The following is a 16,365-nucleotide window of genomic DNA, read 5'->3' as shown; positions in this document are numbered from 1 at the left end:
TTGTTTTGTGCTTTGCCAGCATGTGAAGTACAGATGGAGAAAGGGTACAACATAGCTTGTTGAATGAATGAGTAAAAATGGGCAATGTATAATAACAAGTATAACACGAGGCCTTTCCTTTTCATTCTCTTGGATTGAATGCTCTCAATTTCCCCAGGTTGACAACTTCTTTCCTCTGCCTATGTTGCCATCCATGTCATGGTTTGTGTCAAGACTCTAGGAGAAGTCTACCATCAGCACCACAGCTACTGTGCACAAATCCAGAATGCCAGACTGAAGTCAGAAGGAAAGGTAAAAGTCCAATTCTCAGATGGCAATTCAGACTTAGAAAACAGAATGAGAAAAAGCAGTGGTGTCCATCTCTCCTCAACGATGAATTCATGTCTTAAAATGTATCTGCATCTATTTCTTTCTGTCTACCATCCATCCATCCATCTTTCCTTCTTTCTTCTTTCTCTTTCTCTTTCTCTCCCTCCTTCCTTCTCTTCCTTCGTTTTCATAAGTAAAACTAGTACTAATGCAGAAGTCTGAAATTAGACTTTAAAAACGAGTACTACTCTTTTTTTCCCCCTTTTTGAGAGAGCTGGTGATTTTCTTCCTTGCTTGGCATTAACTGTCTTACTGTCTTATGATACTTATCTTTAATGTGGCATATCAGAGAACCTCTTTGAAAATGTTACGGCTTAATGCGGCTCAGGGAAATAAAAGCCCACTTTAAAAAAGCCAAAATAAAGCTTTCTGATACGGACTTCACAATTAATTTTTGAGAAGGTCCACTTTCATATGCAAGCAAATCTGTTTAGAAATGTTTTAAATTTTAAAGCATGCATACACATATAAAACTAATTTATGTGTTTTTAAATGCTGTTTAAAATTTTAAAGCATATATAGAGAGCAAGAGAGCAAGAGAGGGTGCTCAATATGCATCATAATAGCATGAGAACTGAAAAATAAAAGTTTACTTGCAAACTTAACCGGCTTTGCAATGCAACAGACTAAACAAGTCACATTTTATACAATGTATATGTTTATAATATGAGTGCAGCATGCCAATGTGCTATTTAGATCATTGTCCTGGTTGAATGAACAAGCTCACAGGTTCACCATTTAATATTTGTTCTCTTAAAAACATGAAACTCGTTTTGAAAATACCGGCTTAAATGGGCATTATTAAGTCTTTATCAGTTCTAAGCATTTCAGCCTTTTGCATCCAGAAATTTCTCAATCTGACAGAATAAGAAATGCATTTACATGGCCTAAGCTCTTAAATTGTCCCTTTCAATTAATGCCCCATCATGGAGCAATCTGGAAACCATTACTCAGTAACTCTTCATTATAATTGCTTGCAGCTGAGTATCCAGCCCTTGGTAATATAAGAATAAAAGAAAACTCAGTTAGTAACAAGTGCAATTGATTCCATTCAGAATTCCCTTGGTGCTTTGCCATGTTTGGCCTGCATAAGAGGAAACACGAGGGTTTTTTTTTTCTTTTGGGGCCAGGAAATGAATTGGCAGACATAAGCTGGTTTGTGTGGTGTGCGCCTTCATTTTTCAGCTGGTCCTTGTTAAAAATGAGACGGTGGACTCCTGCTTTCTTCCCCACTGGCTACATTTTTTTGGAGGGCTTTTCTGGTAATAGATAAAACCACAAAACTTCAATTTGCTGCAAACTGACAGCATCCAGAAACTGTCACCTTCTGTAGCCGTGGCCGATCCTGGGACTTACTACTGCTAAGGAGTGGGCTTTAGAATTTTATTCACTTCTACCTTGGTCCTGACTTTATGAGAGCAGAGTCCCTGGTGCATTCTGTACAGGTGGAGAGTGTTTATGTGTTTGGAGGCTATCAGTCACCAACTCAAGAAATGTAAAGATCTAAATTATGATAGATGAAAATGTGAAAATGTGATGTGGTAAACTAACCACCCCCACAACCATGTTCCCCCTTCCTGCCCATGCAAATCAAGGACCTGGCTTTTAAAAATGGTGAAGGGAAATGTTCTTATCACCCATTCCTGTCAGAGATGATGCAGCTCATTGCTGATGCTGAGATCCAACGTCCAGTGCCTGAGTACCCCTGGATTCTGAGCACTAGGGGCTGGACTGTGGAGACCATCAGTTCATAACATCCTGTCCCTGCTCCCTGCTGTAGATGACTGAGACCAGGTAACAAAGACACTTAACTTCATAAATTAAAAATGTGTAAATTATAAAATACATTTTTAATTATAGAATGAATTGATGTTCAGCAAAGAAAAGTTGAATGTAATAAAACTCTCATTTATTTCCATTATTTGCTTTCATCATCAAAGGAAAAAAAGCATCTCTCTGAAGTTAAATGGCATTTCATTTTGATTAATTGTAGAAAGAAGATTGGAAAAATCTCCCATGACCAAGGAAAATTGTGAAAAATATTTCTGATATTTTGTCTATGCATTTTATTTTTGAGGGTGTTTTTTATATTAGTGTGACTATTTTGTATTTCCTACCCTGTTGTAAACTTTTTAAAAATTGCTCTTACAGTTATTACTAAGTATATGATTTAAAATCCCTAATTAGGGTTCTTAAACAAGGGAGAAGCACTCTCATACCCCTAGAACAAGATGAACAAAAGAAGGAGGAAAAATCTTGACCTCCGTAAGATCCAGGATGGCACGTGCAAGGCACTGACACAGCATCTGCCGGCATCACTGACTCTCCTGGACCCCAGAAGCCCAGTTCCCCAGGCTCTGAAACCCTGCAGCAATGAAAAGGAAGCACAGGCAAACCATAAGGAAGATAATTTTTCTACTAAAAAATAAATAGAAATGCATCCTTAGAGGCAGGTTTCATGAGGACACAGAGAATCCGGTTTTGTGTGTGCCTGATTTCGTTTTTCTGTCAAAGAGATACAAAACAATCAACTGAGTTATCTTGAACTTACAAAGATTAAAAATAATCAATTCCTGTTACTATTTTCAATTTTTCCCCCATTTTACTTCTTTAGGTATGAAGAAATGTAGCCTATTAAAACCTGGATTAATAAAAACCTTTCATTAACTTTTAGAAGGTGTGTGATAACGAAATCAGTGTATGTCCAATAACCTTGTCCAGTGACTATGAATTCAGGCCAATTAATTAGTGATTCTCAACCTTGGGATGAGTTTGGGGGTGGGAGTGGGATGGAGGTGAAGCCTACACTTAGTAAAGAAGATGTATCTAGTAGTGTAGATGTCTATGTTTGAAGTAATCAAACTCCAAACTCTGGGGGACTCTGGTCCAGGCCTTTAGCCAAAGGCCACATACATACATGTGCATACAGCCACAGGCATGTCCTCCAATCTTCCTTATGAAGGCCTCCTTGATCCTTTAATGGAACCCATCATGGATGGGTCATATTCCTTCGTAAGTCAGGCAGGCTTGTCTGCCCAGTTATCTAGGCTGTTTACAGGACCCTTTCTTTGTTTCAGATTTTCAGCACTTTTATTCAAATCCTCTCTTCTTGTCCTCCTGAGGACAAGCAGTTCTCCCATTTCCAATCAATCAACAGATCTTTCTTGAGGTCTGATTGAGAGGAATTTTCCACAGTTGTCCAATGCTGCTGTTTAGTAATGTCTGTGGCCAGGCTTCCTAAGAACAAATTCTTGGATTTGAATGACTTCAAAAATCTTCTTTCAATGAACATTACATCTAATAATGTTGAATAATTTAAACTGCTGAGAAAAGACCATAGTTTTATAAGGAGATGAGGTAGCTTCTTACTTTCCACCGTAGATTGAATTTATTTTATCTGTATTCCTAGTTAAATGTTCTTATTTTTACTTTTATCTACTTATATTTTTATAGACAGAGTCTCACTCTGTTGTCCAGTAGGTGCAGTGGTTCTCACAGGAGGCCATAGCTCACTGGCTTCAAGTGATCCTCCTGCCTCAGCCTCCCAAAATGTTGGGATTATAGGCATGAGCCACTGCTCCTGGTCTCTAGTGATATGTTCTTAATGAGGATTATTTCATTTTACTACCTCACACAGAAGTCCTATGACCAGGAAATGTACAAATGGACAAGAAGAGCATATCAATAATAGCTGGCCCTCAATTATTTGTAGAGAGGTAGACTTACAGAGGTTGCAAAGTGAAGTCCCCATGGACATCCACCATTCAGTGTGTCTGGGTTGGCCAGCAAAGTATTTTTGAAAGCATGAATTAATTTTCAGTATTGGAGAATGGGATAATTCATATGGGAACATTTTCCCCTGCTTCTCTAGAAAATCAATGGATCTAGCAACAGTGGCCCCCCATTTGGCCTGGCAGTGATGAATGGATGTTGGGGAGTGGTGGCCCTTCCAGTGGGCCAAGGGCTCTTCAGTTTGCCCCCAATCTCCTCCCAGCCAGTTTCACTCTTCATTACCTGTTGACCCTTGTCTGCTTTTGAGTGTGAGAACTCTACTGTGTTTTAGAGCTACTTGAAATTCCCCAATTGTCCTCCTTTTCATCACTGATGACAAAACTCCTCTTTTTAATGCTGCTGTGTAGATGCTTGGGTGTTGACTGTGAACTATGACCTTCGTGATCAACTTGGAATCAAATGTCTCTCAGGAGAGGATATAAAGGACTATCTGGAGGGGGCCCCTCCTCATTCACTGAAGGAAGGAGACATTCATTTATTTCCTCTTCCTGCTCACTGGCTGTGAAGATAATGATCGCTTAAAGAAATATGATATGGGAGGCCAGAGAGAAAAAGAAAGAAGCAAAGCAAGAAGTGTGACAAATTCTCAAATGCATTTTGAGCAGTTGAATTACATAGGGCACTGTAATAATGTCACAGGACACTTTTACAAAGATTTGAACACCAGGCATTCTAATCCTAAGCACTACACAAAATGGCCCTGCTGATTTTCCCCTGTGGGGGGCTACAGGGCTCTAGTGAGGTCTCTCGCCCAAGCAATGAAACATTTCTGTGGTAGGCTGAAGACTGTGGGCCCCCAGATCCACGAAAGAGCAAGCTCCGCAGATACCCAGTCTCTTCTGGGATCCAGTTTGTTCCATGTCAGGGATCAGGAGGAAACCCACACAGGGTAACTCTTCTCAGGAAGGTAGAGCCTAAAGGGGAATACCCAGCCCTTTCTTTGACCTCTTTCTCTTCCTTCGGCCTTAGCAATGAGGGCTGGGAAGAAGAGGTGACTGTGCATTTGTGCATCTCCCTGCTTCCAGATCCCTTCTCTCCACAGAGGCCGAAAATCCCATTTGGATTGGCAAATCTGGCTGAACAATGTCCAGATTAAATCTGAGAACTTTCTCAGTGTTAAAGGTTTCCAGCCTTTAGCATCCATAAAAGCAAACAAGATAAAGTTACACTCAAAATAGGAATGGTAGGGAAAAAGGTCTCCCGGTTTACCATAAAAATCAAATTACTCCCAGGACCTTGGTGACAGTTAACTCTCTGGCTTTCTTATATCACACAGAATTATTGCTCTGAAAGAGTCTTTCTCACAGTTCTCCAGACATTTGTTGTATGCTCTTTGTGTATCTGGGCATGCACATACCACCTGGGTCCACACCATGCATGGTGCTGACATCTCACAGTTGCTAGCAAATGAGATGACACCAGAAAATTGCTTTGTCCAGCTCAGCAAAATCAAACTCCCTAGTTGAACTTCCTTCTGATGCTGGGGACCAGGGAAACAATGAGTAAAGGGCAGGTGACTTAGCAGATCTGTAGCAGAATGCCAGCCCCAGCTGTGTACTAAGGAGGGGTTGAAATTGTGTGGGCCACCTACCAGTTACTTCTCAGAGCTTCTCACTGTGCACACTTAGCTTCCTATCATGTCTGCTTAATTGTTTTTAATGTATGCACACGTGTCCCTGATAACCAAGGAGCTATAATTTATTGGTAATTCATTTTGCCACTTTTTCTTTCCTTTCTTGTCTTAGAAGATGCATGAACAGACACTTCTCAAAAGAAGACATTTATGCAGCCAAAAAACACATGAAAAAATGCTCATCATCACTGGCCATCAGAGAAATGCAAATCAAAACCACAGTGAGATACCATCTCACACCAGTTAGAACGGCAGTCATTAAAAAGTCAGGAAACAACAGGTGCTGGAGAGGATGTGGAGAAATAGGAACACTTTTACACTGTTGGTGGGACTGTAAACTAGTTCAACCATTGTGGAAGTCAGTGTGGTGATTCCTCAGGGATCTAGAACTAGAAATACTATTTGACCCAGCCATCCCATTACTGGGTATATACCCAAAGGAATATAAATCTTGCTGCTATAAAGACACATGCACACGTATGTTTATTGCGGCATTATTCACAATAGCAAAGACTTGGAACCAACCCAAATGTCCAACAATGATAGACTGGATTAAGAAAATGTGGCACATATACACCATGGAATACTATGCAGCCATAAAAAATGATGAGTTCATGTCCTTTGTAGGCACATGGATGAAATTGGAAATCATCATTCTCAGTAAACTATCACAAGAACAAAAAACCAAATGCTGCATATTCTCACTCATAGGTGGGAATTGAACAGTGAGATCACATGGACACAGGAAGGGGAATATCACACTCTGGGGACCGTGGTGGGGTGGGGGGAGGGGGGAGGGGTAGCATTGGGAGATATACCTAATGCTAGATGACGAGTTAGTGGGTGCAGCGCACCAGCATGGCACATGTATACATATGTAACTAACCTGCACAATGTGCACATGTACCCTAAAACTTAAAGTATAATAAAAAAAAAAAAAAAAAAAAAAGAAGATGCTCCCCATGGGCAGGCCCAGGAGTTCCCTTACCCAGAAATCAGAAGACCAGGAAGGAGAAGTCTGCACGGAGCAAGCCAGCTGTTTCAGTCCTATGGCCATCTTCCATCAGTGACGATGTCCAAAAGGATGCAAAAGCCCTTGTGACAGAGGCTGCTTGGGAATTAGCAAACCTGCTTCCTCTTCCCCCTGGGCTTACACAGCCCATTGCATTTTCCAACCTCCATTGCAATTAAGTGGCTGTGTGACTGGGTTTGAGCCTGGGAAACATGAGCAGCAGTAATTACACCACTTTGAGGCCTGTCATATTCAAGCTCCCTTGTGAGGTTCTCCATGTTCATTATCCCTTCAGCTGGTTACGATGGAAATGACTTCTAGGGCAGCTTTGGGAGTTGCCTGATGAAGATGCTCAGCCACGAGATGGGAAGATTCTGGGTCCCTGATTCATCATATGGAGGAGAGCTTCCCAATCAGGAATAATCTCACTGGACTGTGACATGAGCGAGAAAGAAACTTTCCTTTTGCTAAACCACTGAAATTTCTGGGTTCTGCTGATAGAACAGGTAGCATTACTTCGAAAAATACAACATCAGTCTAGGACTTTCTGAAAGAACGAGATACGTAAATAAAGCCTAGGAACAACCTGTAGGAACTGGAGAATGGCGCTTATTATGGATGGAGAAAGAAAAAGAACTACAGATCCTTCACAATCTTCAATGTAGATTACATCTGGAGTAAAAGAATATCTAGTGTAGATCAAGAATAATATCTAGTGTGGATCATATATTCTCCAAACATGAAATGCTTGTAGCTTGGAGAGATCAATATTTCTTCAGACAATCGGGCACTAACACTACTTGTGGATATTCACTTGGGAAATGTCAGAGCTCCAGATTATAAAATTCTTGCAAAAGCTTGCAATTGGCTCAGAATGGGACATGGGACTTTGTAATTAGGTCTATCCCAGAATTACAACCTTTGCCCATACTAAGCTGGAAACAATAGAAAGTATTTAAATGTTGGACATTTTAATTACAGCGTAGGAGAGAAAAAACACACAGTGGATAAAGATGTTGTGGTATATTGGCTATAATATTCTTAGCAAAGTGGGAAGTTATGACTTCAAAAAACTCTCAACAGATTCCTCACTTTGATGGGAGGAGACTGCAGGTATGGGAGCAGTAGAGACTTGAATTACTCCGACATTATTGCAGAACATTCCTCAAGTCTTTCCTGAATAATTGGACCCCTTATAGGTCTATCACTTTGCCACCATGAGATAATATTGAGTTTGCAAGAATGCTTTTGCAGAGGTCGCTGTGCTCCTGGAAGACAGTATTTATAAAAATAGTCACTTTGTATGGTGGTATCTGTTTGGGACAGTGTGAGCCCCTCACTACTCTCAGCTTTAGATATGGAAAACTCAAAGACAGACACAAAGGAAAATACTTCTGTTTTCAGTTATTGAGAAAATGATACTTTGTTTAAAAACCACTATTGATTAAATTTAGTGATATTAGAGACATATAAGGCATGAATATATATATATATATATATAATTTTTCAAAAATTCAAACAGCTTAACACAAAACTCTATTCTCAACCAACATTTCTTAGATGTTTGCAGACAAAAGACGAAAATCAACTGAATTGTTTCTTAGGTTCAGGAGTTCTAGACTACAGGAAGGAGACTCTCTGGTCCTGATGAGGCCATAGGTTAAATAAGTTTGTTTAGTTATTTTCTCTTTCTGCTGTGTAAATTGCCTTTCATTAGCTCACTTAATTGCGTGGGAGAGAACCTTTTCTGAGTTACCTTCTGAAACCAGGGAATTAGATGTGAGGTGGATAGCCACCTTTCTCTTTTTTGTTACTGTAAACTATATATCTCTATTTTTCTCACTAGCCATAAAACACAGTCAATCAAGTACATCACAGACAATTTAAGTGATGCCAACAATGTACTCTTAGCATGAATATGATACTGAAGTCCTACCTGTGAAGGATTGCAGTATTTTAGCATTATTTGTCTCTGAAATAAACACACAAACACACACACTCTTACGTACATGACTGTATATCTCCTATGTGCTCTGAATCCTATAATAATCTGGTGAATAGTTACTGTGCCTTATTGAAAACGTGCTGACTCTCATCTTGAGTTGAACACACTGTGCCACGTGTGTTATTTACTTGTCTGTGGCCTTTGTGGGGGTAGGTTTTGACCTATAATGGCCAATAAAATGTGTGCATGTGAGAATGCCTGAATTAGCTCAAAGGAACAAAAAAAGAGTATTGCCCTACATATTAAAGGGTTGGTGTTCTGGCAAATCTAGGCACTGCTGGTGGGGTGGTAGAGAAAATGCAAGACCAATATCAGCAAGGAATTGAAGATTGATGAAATTTTTTAGACATTAGGAAGGGCATCATACATTTCTCTGCAACCTGGAAAAAAAGCCAATAATAGAATGAAGCAAAGCTGGTAGAAACTATAGCTAGAGACAGACGATTACTTCAAGATTGGAGAAAATGGAAATGTGGGTACAGATGTACAAGTAAGGCAGCATGGAAGTGCAGGAAAGTGGTTAGTATAGAAAGTTGTTCCCATCAGTCCACACAACCCCCCAAATCAGTGGTTTGCAGAGTTGGCCACAGCCTCACTGGGAATGTAAATTCTTAGGCCCACCCCAGACCTACTGAATCAGAAACTGTGGGGGTAGGACTCTTGATCTGTCCTTTAACCAGCCTCCAGTGGTTCTGATGAGGGCTGAAGGTTGAGGACCACTGGGAGAAGGTGTACATGAAGTGGGAAGCATAACTTTGCTGTTCTTGCAGATGACTTCAGTCTTCCCGGCCCTTCACAGCATCAGCCTCTTTTAATGCTGTGTGCCATTCTACTGTTTATAGGCACACAGTTTTCATGACAACTAGTCCCTAGACAGAAGTTCAAGTGTAGACATAGGCCTATTTCAATGCTAGAGAAAATCTAGCAGGGCTGACTTTAGCGAGAGGCAGTGTGTCCATCATCAATGGGCACCATCCTATGTGATTTTCCAGGATATTTTGACCATAGTCAATATTCACCATATTGTGATCACTTTGAATCCCAGACAGATTCTACTCCACTAGCCCACTGCACCCACACCCATCTCACTGTTCTGGTTTACAATAAAGAAACCTCTGCCTTGGCAGCCAATGCACATTTAGCCTCTTCCCATTTTGCTTGTTAGAGGCTTTGCCATACAATGAAGATTTAATGCCATATTCAGCTAAAACACCAGCTAGAGAAACTATAATGCAGAATACTTTTGAAGAGTTCAAATGAATGGGTTTGCTATTTTTCAGAGTGCTTTAAAACACAATTGAGTCTCTCTCTGCTGTTCTCCTACACTTGGGATGATTATCTTGCATCACAGCTTGGTATTACTAAAAGGTTTTTTGTCTGATTATGAGCCCAGAGTTCCCAGAAAAGGGGGAGATCTAAGAATCTTTTTCAAGTCCAAAGAGAATGTGGAGGAAGCAATTTCCTGTGCCCTGTAGAAATAAATGCGCCAGTTGTTGCTCGGGGAAAATGCAAGAGAATCCTGCTATTTTGCTGATATGGAAGACAAGGAGGATTTGCACCAAACATTGCTTTTCATGTGGGGAGCCAATCCGCCTTATGTGAGCCCCCAACACGTGGCAGTGCAGTCTGCTTTGTTGGGTTTCACCATATTCCACTGATAGGAATGAGAGGACTGAAAACTGATGAAGGGGGCAGTGAGGGAGCTTCAGCTGATAGCGTGTTGAGTGTTATAGCCTGTCTGGCACCTGATGTCACACACAGATATTACCCTTTAAAACTGCCATCAGATGTCAGAGGTTTCCTAGATGATAGTTCCATGGGGATCCAGAGAAGGCCACCTGCGCAAAGGTCTCTGGCTGTCTCCTTCTTGATGTCTGCTACCCAACAAGAAACCAACAGCAGGAAAAGAGTTATGAGTTGGTGAACAAAAGATAAATGATTTCAGTCTCTGGATGTTTTAAGAGCAAATTTTTGTACATCAAATGGTTAAAATTGATCTCTCCATTGACTTTTGTATGGAACGGGCCCAAACGAATGATGTTAGGTAATCAATGAGAAAAGGCTGTGCATGAAGAATGAAAAACCACAATATTGGATTGCTATGGAAAAGGCTCCTCAAAGCAAGAAATAAATGAGGGCTACTCACACTCAAAGAAGGCTGGACCAAGAGCCACCTCCCCTGGCTCTGACATGCTGAGCAGACTCGATCACAAACTGGTCTGAGACGCATGACTCATGAAGTGAACCCTCTGACAGTTAATATTTCTTTTCATGGAGATTCTGATTTTGCTATCTGTGCTGGCGTTTCCTGCCTTTGTAACCTTCCTTTTATTTCAAAGAAATAGCTTCCAGGGTGCTGTTGTTTGTTGTAATAAGTTGTGACTATAAGCTTTTCTGGTTTAAGCCACTGTGAGAGGACCAGGCCTTGTTGTAACCCACTGGGAGGGACTGAGCATTGCTGAGCACAGTCTTTCCCAAGCTCCTAACATGTGTACTAGCCTCCCTAGGTAACTGCTGAACATCCCAGGGCTTCTGGATCCACCAGGCCAACCCCGCCATCCCACCCCTAACTTCCCAGCAAACATGTGGAGAATAATACCAGGGCATTAAATTAGACCTCATTACCTAGCCAGTTGGGCTGCCCGGCTCTCCTGCACATAATGAGGTCTGATTTACTGTGATCATTATTCAGGCATTATAGGTCACTAAATAACATACTTTGCTCACACATGTCTTCTGAGCTAACAAATATCCTGAGAGGAAACATTCTTGAGGGCGTGAGTCTCAGGTTTGGGTTGGTAACTTCAGGCTCACTAATTGCATGAAGGCACTTTGCCTACTGCTCATGAAATCTTGGGATAGGAAAAGTCTAATTAACAACCTCAGGGGATGTGAGTGAGAGGCAGGGAAGAGACTGCTGGATTCTTTGGCCTACGGGACACAGGCCAAGGTGAGCCACTGGTGGAGGCTGACCCCAGGTGAGTCAACCATAGAGCCAATTCCATAGCACCTCATGCAGGGCCTTTTGGGAGCAGGACTGGGGGCTCCTCCCTTGCCTCCTTGCACTGTGTATTCCTGACATATCAATTAGGAGTTCCCTGTCATGTCTCTTTCTCTCACCACTGGGCCTTTGCATGTGTTGTCTAAAATGCTGCACTCCATTCCCATCTCCCTTTGTATGTGTTGTCATCATGTTTGGAAACTCAGCTTAGCTGTCTCCTCCCCGAGAAAGAATTCCATGATCCTTTCGTACCAAGTGTCTACTCTTATACAGTGTATGATACCATATGGTTTTCATTGACCTGCCTGTATTCTCCATTAGACTGTAAGGCTCTAAATGGCCTAATCTAGATCTTACTGACTGCTGTATTCCTAATGCCTGGCACAGCACCTGGGACGTGGCAGGTGCCATGTTATTTGCCTGGAGAATGAAAAAAAATTGTCTATATGGAAGGAAAGAAGGATATTGAGAACAATGTCATGAATGTGGTGGTGGTAGCAGAGGGTGGTGACTTTTTTAGCCTTGGTAATATCTAGTCATGGAGAAGAGGTCCCTAGCCACCCTGGACATTACTTTCCCAAGCCTTTCATTATCCAGACATACATCCAACTGGAAACTTCTAGAAGGAAGAAAACCTTGTATCCTTGAATGCCTGGCCTGGGTCTTGGCATATAGTAGGTGTTCATTCAATGTTGGATTAAGCTGTTGGCTCTAGTAGCCAGTCTTGCCCACTCACCAGAGACTGGGGCCACTTTCCTTGAACATAAGGGGAGAATGTGGTTTGTGGCTGAGGAGACTGAAGCTTCTTTCTGGCCCTACCCTCAAGTGGAGCTCTGCTGGTAGGCAGGGGAGAAAGGGGCACTGGCAGGGTTAACTGCTGTCTATAATTCCAGCTGCAGCAGGTTGACATTGTAACAATGCCTGGCTATAGGCTTTTCCTTGCATAATCCGAAATCATAGCACATTGAGGTTTCAGCTTTGGACATAATGCAATTATAAGAAAATGACAGCATCAATGGATTGTCACAAGTCCTAGTTTGATAACATCCATATTTTTCTTAAAACTGCAATATATATTTTTAAAAGTCTATTTTTCTCAAGGAAGACACTGGGGATTGGGAAAATAGGATTAAAAATAATTCTTTTTTTTCTAACTCGTAATGCAAAATATGTAACTGGTAAATACTAAGTAAATCTGACCATATATCTACATTATTTATGGAAATAATTCAGGATTATTTACTTTATAGAAAATTTGTTAGAATGCTTTAAAAATTACTGAAATTAAATAAAATCAGGCTCCTTGAACTATCCATGAGTGCAGCCTCACATAATCAATACTTTAGCCATTCTAGGATGACATTGCATCTCAAGACTATTTTCTAACTTAATAAGATTAGAAATAATAAACTGATATTATTTCTTTGTGAACTGGGGCCTCTGACCTGGTAATTTAATGCCTTCATTATTGCACTGGAAGAGCTCTTAGAGACCCACTGAGCCTCTCGTCCTACTCACAACCACATTCCGTCCACATGATAACCTGAGACCTTGTTTCCTTTGGATACGGGGGGTTACATGCAATTGAGGAATATTCTTAACTTATTTTTAAAATGCTCTGAGCATTATTTTCAGGACAGTAGTGTATATATTTAAAATGGAAAACTTTTATTGATTCAATAACAGAAACCAGTAGGAAATAAGATGGCTTATTCCTGAATTGTATTGTTCTGGATATTTTCACGCTGGCCAAGAGGTGAATTCTGCAATGGGGACATGAGGGAGTTTGTTTTTGCCCAGCCTGTGCTTGATTCAGCTGTGATGGTTCATGCTGCTTTTTCCTGCTATCTGGGAGAAACTGAAGGCAAGGGTGTTAATATCTGAAAGCGCTGTGGGTCTGAGGGCTGAATTCTTGTCCCATTTTCTCATGAATTCTGTTCCTGCCTCTTCAGAGTCGAGGAGTCTCTTGAGCCTGTCTGTGTGAAAGCACTTTCTCATGAACCTTTGCCTGTGTGGCTTGAAGAGAATTTCCTCCTCTGCTTAAAATATGTTAGGGCCACACCTCTGCCCAGGAGGTTTTTCAGAGGCTCTTCTGGGAGGCCTGTTCCCAGAATCACCTGTGGTGAGAAGCCAGTGGAGGACTTGATTCCCAAGATTATAAGCTGGACTCCAAAATGGAAAATGAATGTGGATTAGAACAACCCACGTAAAGATTCTCCTGACTGGGAAGGGCTGGGCTAAAAGAGGACGAAACATGTTCTATTTAGGGAGCACCATTTAAAATGCTGAACAAGAAGGGCAGGAGGCAGTTACGAATTCTTTAATTGACCAATAGGAAATTGAAGTCTCTCTGCGACAGTTAAAATTATTTGTCCACTGGGTCTGTTGGCTGTTGGTGACTTGCAGAAACAGCTTTGTTGTCAGGAAGCGCTGCTGAAAGTCATGTGACAGAGCTGACTTGGGCCCGGTGAGTTTTGAGCAATGCGACAATAATAACAGTGGCACCCACTGTGCTCCTGGTGCTATTGAGAGTGCTCTGCCTCCATCATCTCATTTGCTCCTTACATAAACTACAATTGTATGAAGTGGGCCACATTTAAACACTTGGTGAGACTGTGACTTTCCCAAGGTCACCCAGTTGGAAAGGGTGGAGCTAGGACTCAAATCCAGATTGCCTATGTTGAAGGTCATGTGCTCATAACACCTAACTGTATCATTTGGCTGTGCCAGAAAGATTCAAGAAAGATTCAAGAAAGAACCGTGCATCTACAACACTGCCTCAGAATCAGTGGCTTTCCAGGGCAAATAGTTTATTTCATTTTATCACTTTCTCACATAATTGCCTCCGGTTTTATAGACTATGGCACAGTGTTTTCAAAATATTGCAAATAGGAAGCTAGTTATTACTCAAGAGCAGTCAAGTGCTTCTGGGCACTTCTACTGAGCCTCTAAATGTCTTTGGAAATGCTGATGCTGGGTAAAGCCGCCTGGTGAGCACAAAGCAGCCCATAAGATCTGAGATGGGATGCATTTTCCTGAGACCCCGGCACGCCTTTACCTATGGGAGTTGGAATATAGCAGGGGAAATGCTAGGTTAGTGACTTGTTCCATTGCAATGTCTTCTCCAATGTAATACACTGGAAGGACAATGAAGAAAGGACAATGGAAGACAATGAAGAACAATGAAGGAACAGCCTCTGAATCGATAACCAGAGACTTGGGATACTACATGGCTGTGAGAACGGTGGAAGATTCATAAACTATTCTTTTATAATGAGTGCAAAATTGAAGATTCAAATATTAATGATGACTGTGACTCACATTTCTTGGGTGCTTACTATGAGTCAGACACTCTTCTAAGCCCTTTATGTGTGATGTTAGCTCATACTTCACAAGGTTCTTATAGCAACTTTGTGAAGCAAATGTTTGAGTGTAATTTATTTCTGCTCATGTTATATTGGCTGAAATGAGTCACGTGGCACAACTGGCTGCAGAGGAGGCTTGAGCTGAGTGATCAGTGCCCAGATAAAACTCTTGGCATCATGTTATTAAATAAATAGGAAGAAGAAAGCCAGGGGGACAGTGAACACCTCTGTCCACCCCCTAACGTATCGAGCAGTGAACTTATCCTTGGAGTGGTCTGAGAAAAGGGGTGTTTCTTGTTTTCTCCTCCATCTATGTTTTTGGAAGATGACTGTAGAAAAACCTGATTTTGTAGAAGTTGCTAATCTCACTCAGGTGCTGGGTACTCTGAATAGATAAAAGACAAGAAAGGATGAGTGAAGGAGATGAAGAAATTTAAGCATTGCCTCTTCTGTAAACCTCCTGTCTTTGGATAGAACCAATACTTTTGTCCATGAGGCTCTTGTGCTTTTTGCCTGATTTTAGAAATTATGGAAGTTGTTCATTTATTTATTTGACTAGCATTGATTGGAAGTCTGGGATGCATCAGGCCCTGGGCCTACAAAGACACACAAGATAGACAAGGTCCTTGCTGTTAAGAAGTTTACAGTCTATTTGGAGAAGACAATTGTCAACAAGTAAGTGGAGAGGCAACTTCAGAAGTTGATAGGTACTACAAAGAAAGAACATAAATAAAACCACCCAAAATTTAGTAGCTTATAATAACAAACATTTATTCTTGCTTACCAGCTACATAATTTTTGGGGGCCTAGAACAAAATGAAAGTGTAGGGCCCTTGTTAAAAATATTAAAACATTCAAAACAGTAACAGAAGAACATTAAACCAAGCATGGGGCTCTTCTAAGCAAGGAGTCCTGTACAACTACACAGGTTAAGCGCCTGTTTGCAGGTGTGTGGGTTGGTGGGGCTTTGCTCCAGGATTTGGGTTCACCTCAAATTTGCTCCATATGTCTCCACATTTTCTTTGGCACAGGAAGTACCAGGGCTTAACATCTCTTGGCAGGTCAGAGAAGCACAAGGGGCATGCCAGTCTCTACAAGCACATGTTGAGCCTCTGCTTTGGTGATGTCTGCTAACATCCTATTGGTCAAAGGAGTCATATGGCCAATTTCTAGGTCAAGAGGTGGAGA

At 41.2% G+C, this 16,365-nt stretch overlaps 1 long non-coding RNA gene across 23 annotated transcripts in view, besides 1 other annotated feature; it reads left to right on the top strand.

The window, feature by feature from the left end:
• LINC03007 (long intergenic non-protein coding RNA 3007) overlaps positions 1-16,365 on the top strand; it is a 196,819-nt gene that overhangs the window by 131,869 nt on the left and 48,585 nt on the right. For 7 of the 23 annotated variants that reach the window (NR_157808.1, NR_157810.1, NR_157809.1 and 4 more), the window contains exon 3: positions 158-291. This is a non-coding gene — a long non-coding RNA (long intergenic non-protein coding RNA 3007). Of the gene's footprint in view, positions 1-157; positions 3,046-4,508; positions 5,478-16,365 lie in introns of those variants that run through there. The other 16 variants (NR_157813.1, NR_157816.1, NR_157830.1 and 13 more) reach the window with 12 other exon arrangements.
• Positions 255-2,834: an enhancer, noted in NCBI's record as "VISTA enhancer hs1600". NCBI's record gives its function as "enhancer in: forebrain[4/5] | limb[3/5] | branchial arch[4/5] | nose[4/5] | facial mesenchyme[4/5]" and the evidence as "EXISTENCE:transgenic organism evidence [ECO:0001131][PMID:17130149]".

This window comes from Homo sapiens, chromosome 7 (genome assembly GCF_000001405.40).
Source record: "Homo sapiens chromosome 7, GRCh38.p14 Primary Assembly".
Lineage (NCBI taxonomy): Eukaryota > Metazoa > Chordata > Mammalia > Primates > Hominidae > Homo > Homo sapiens.
The sequence above is the reverse complement of the archived record's forward strand: the minus strand, read 5'-3'. Positions and strand labels throughout refer to the sequence as shown.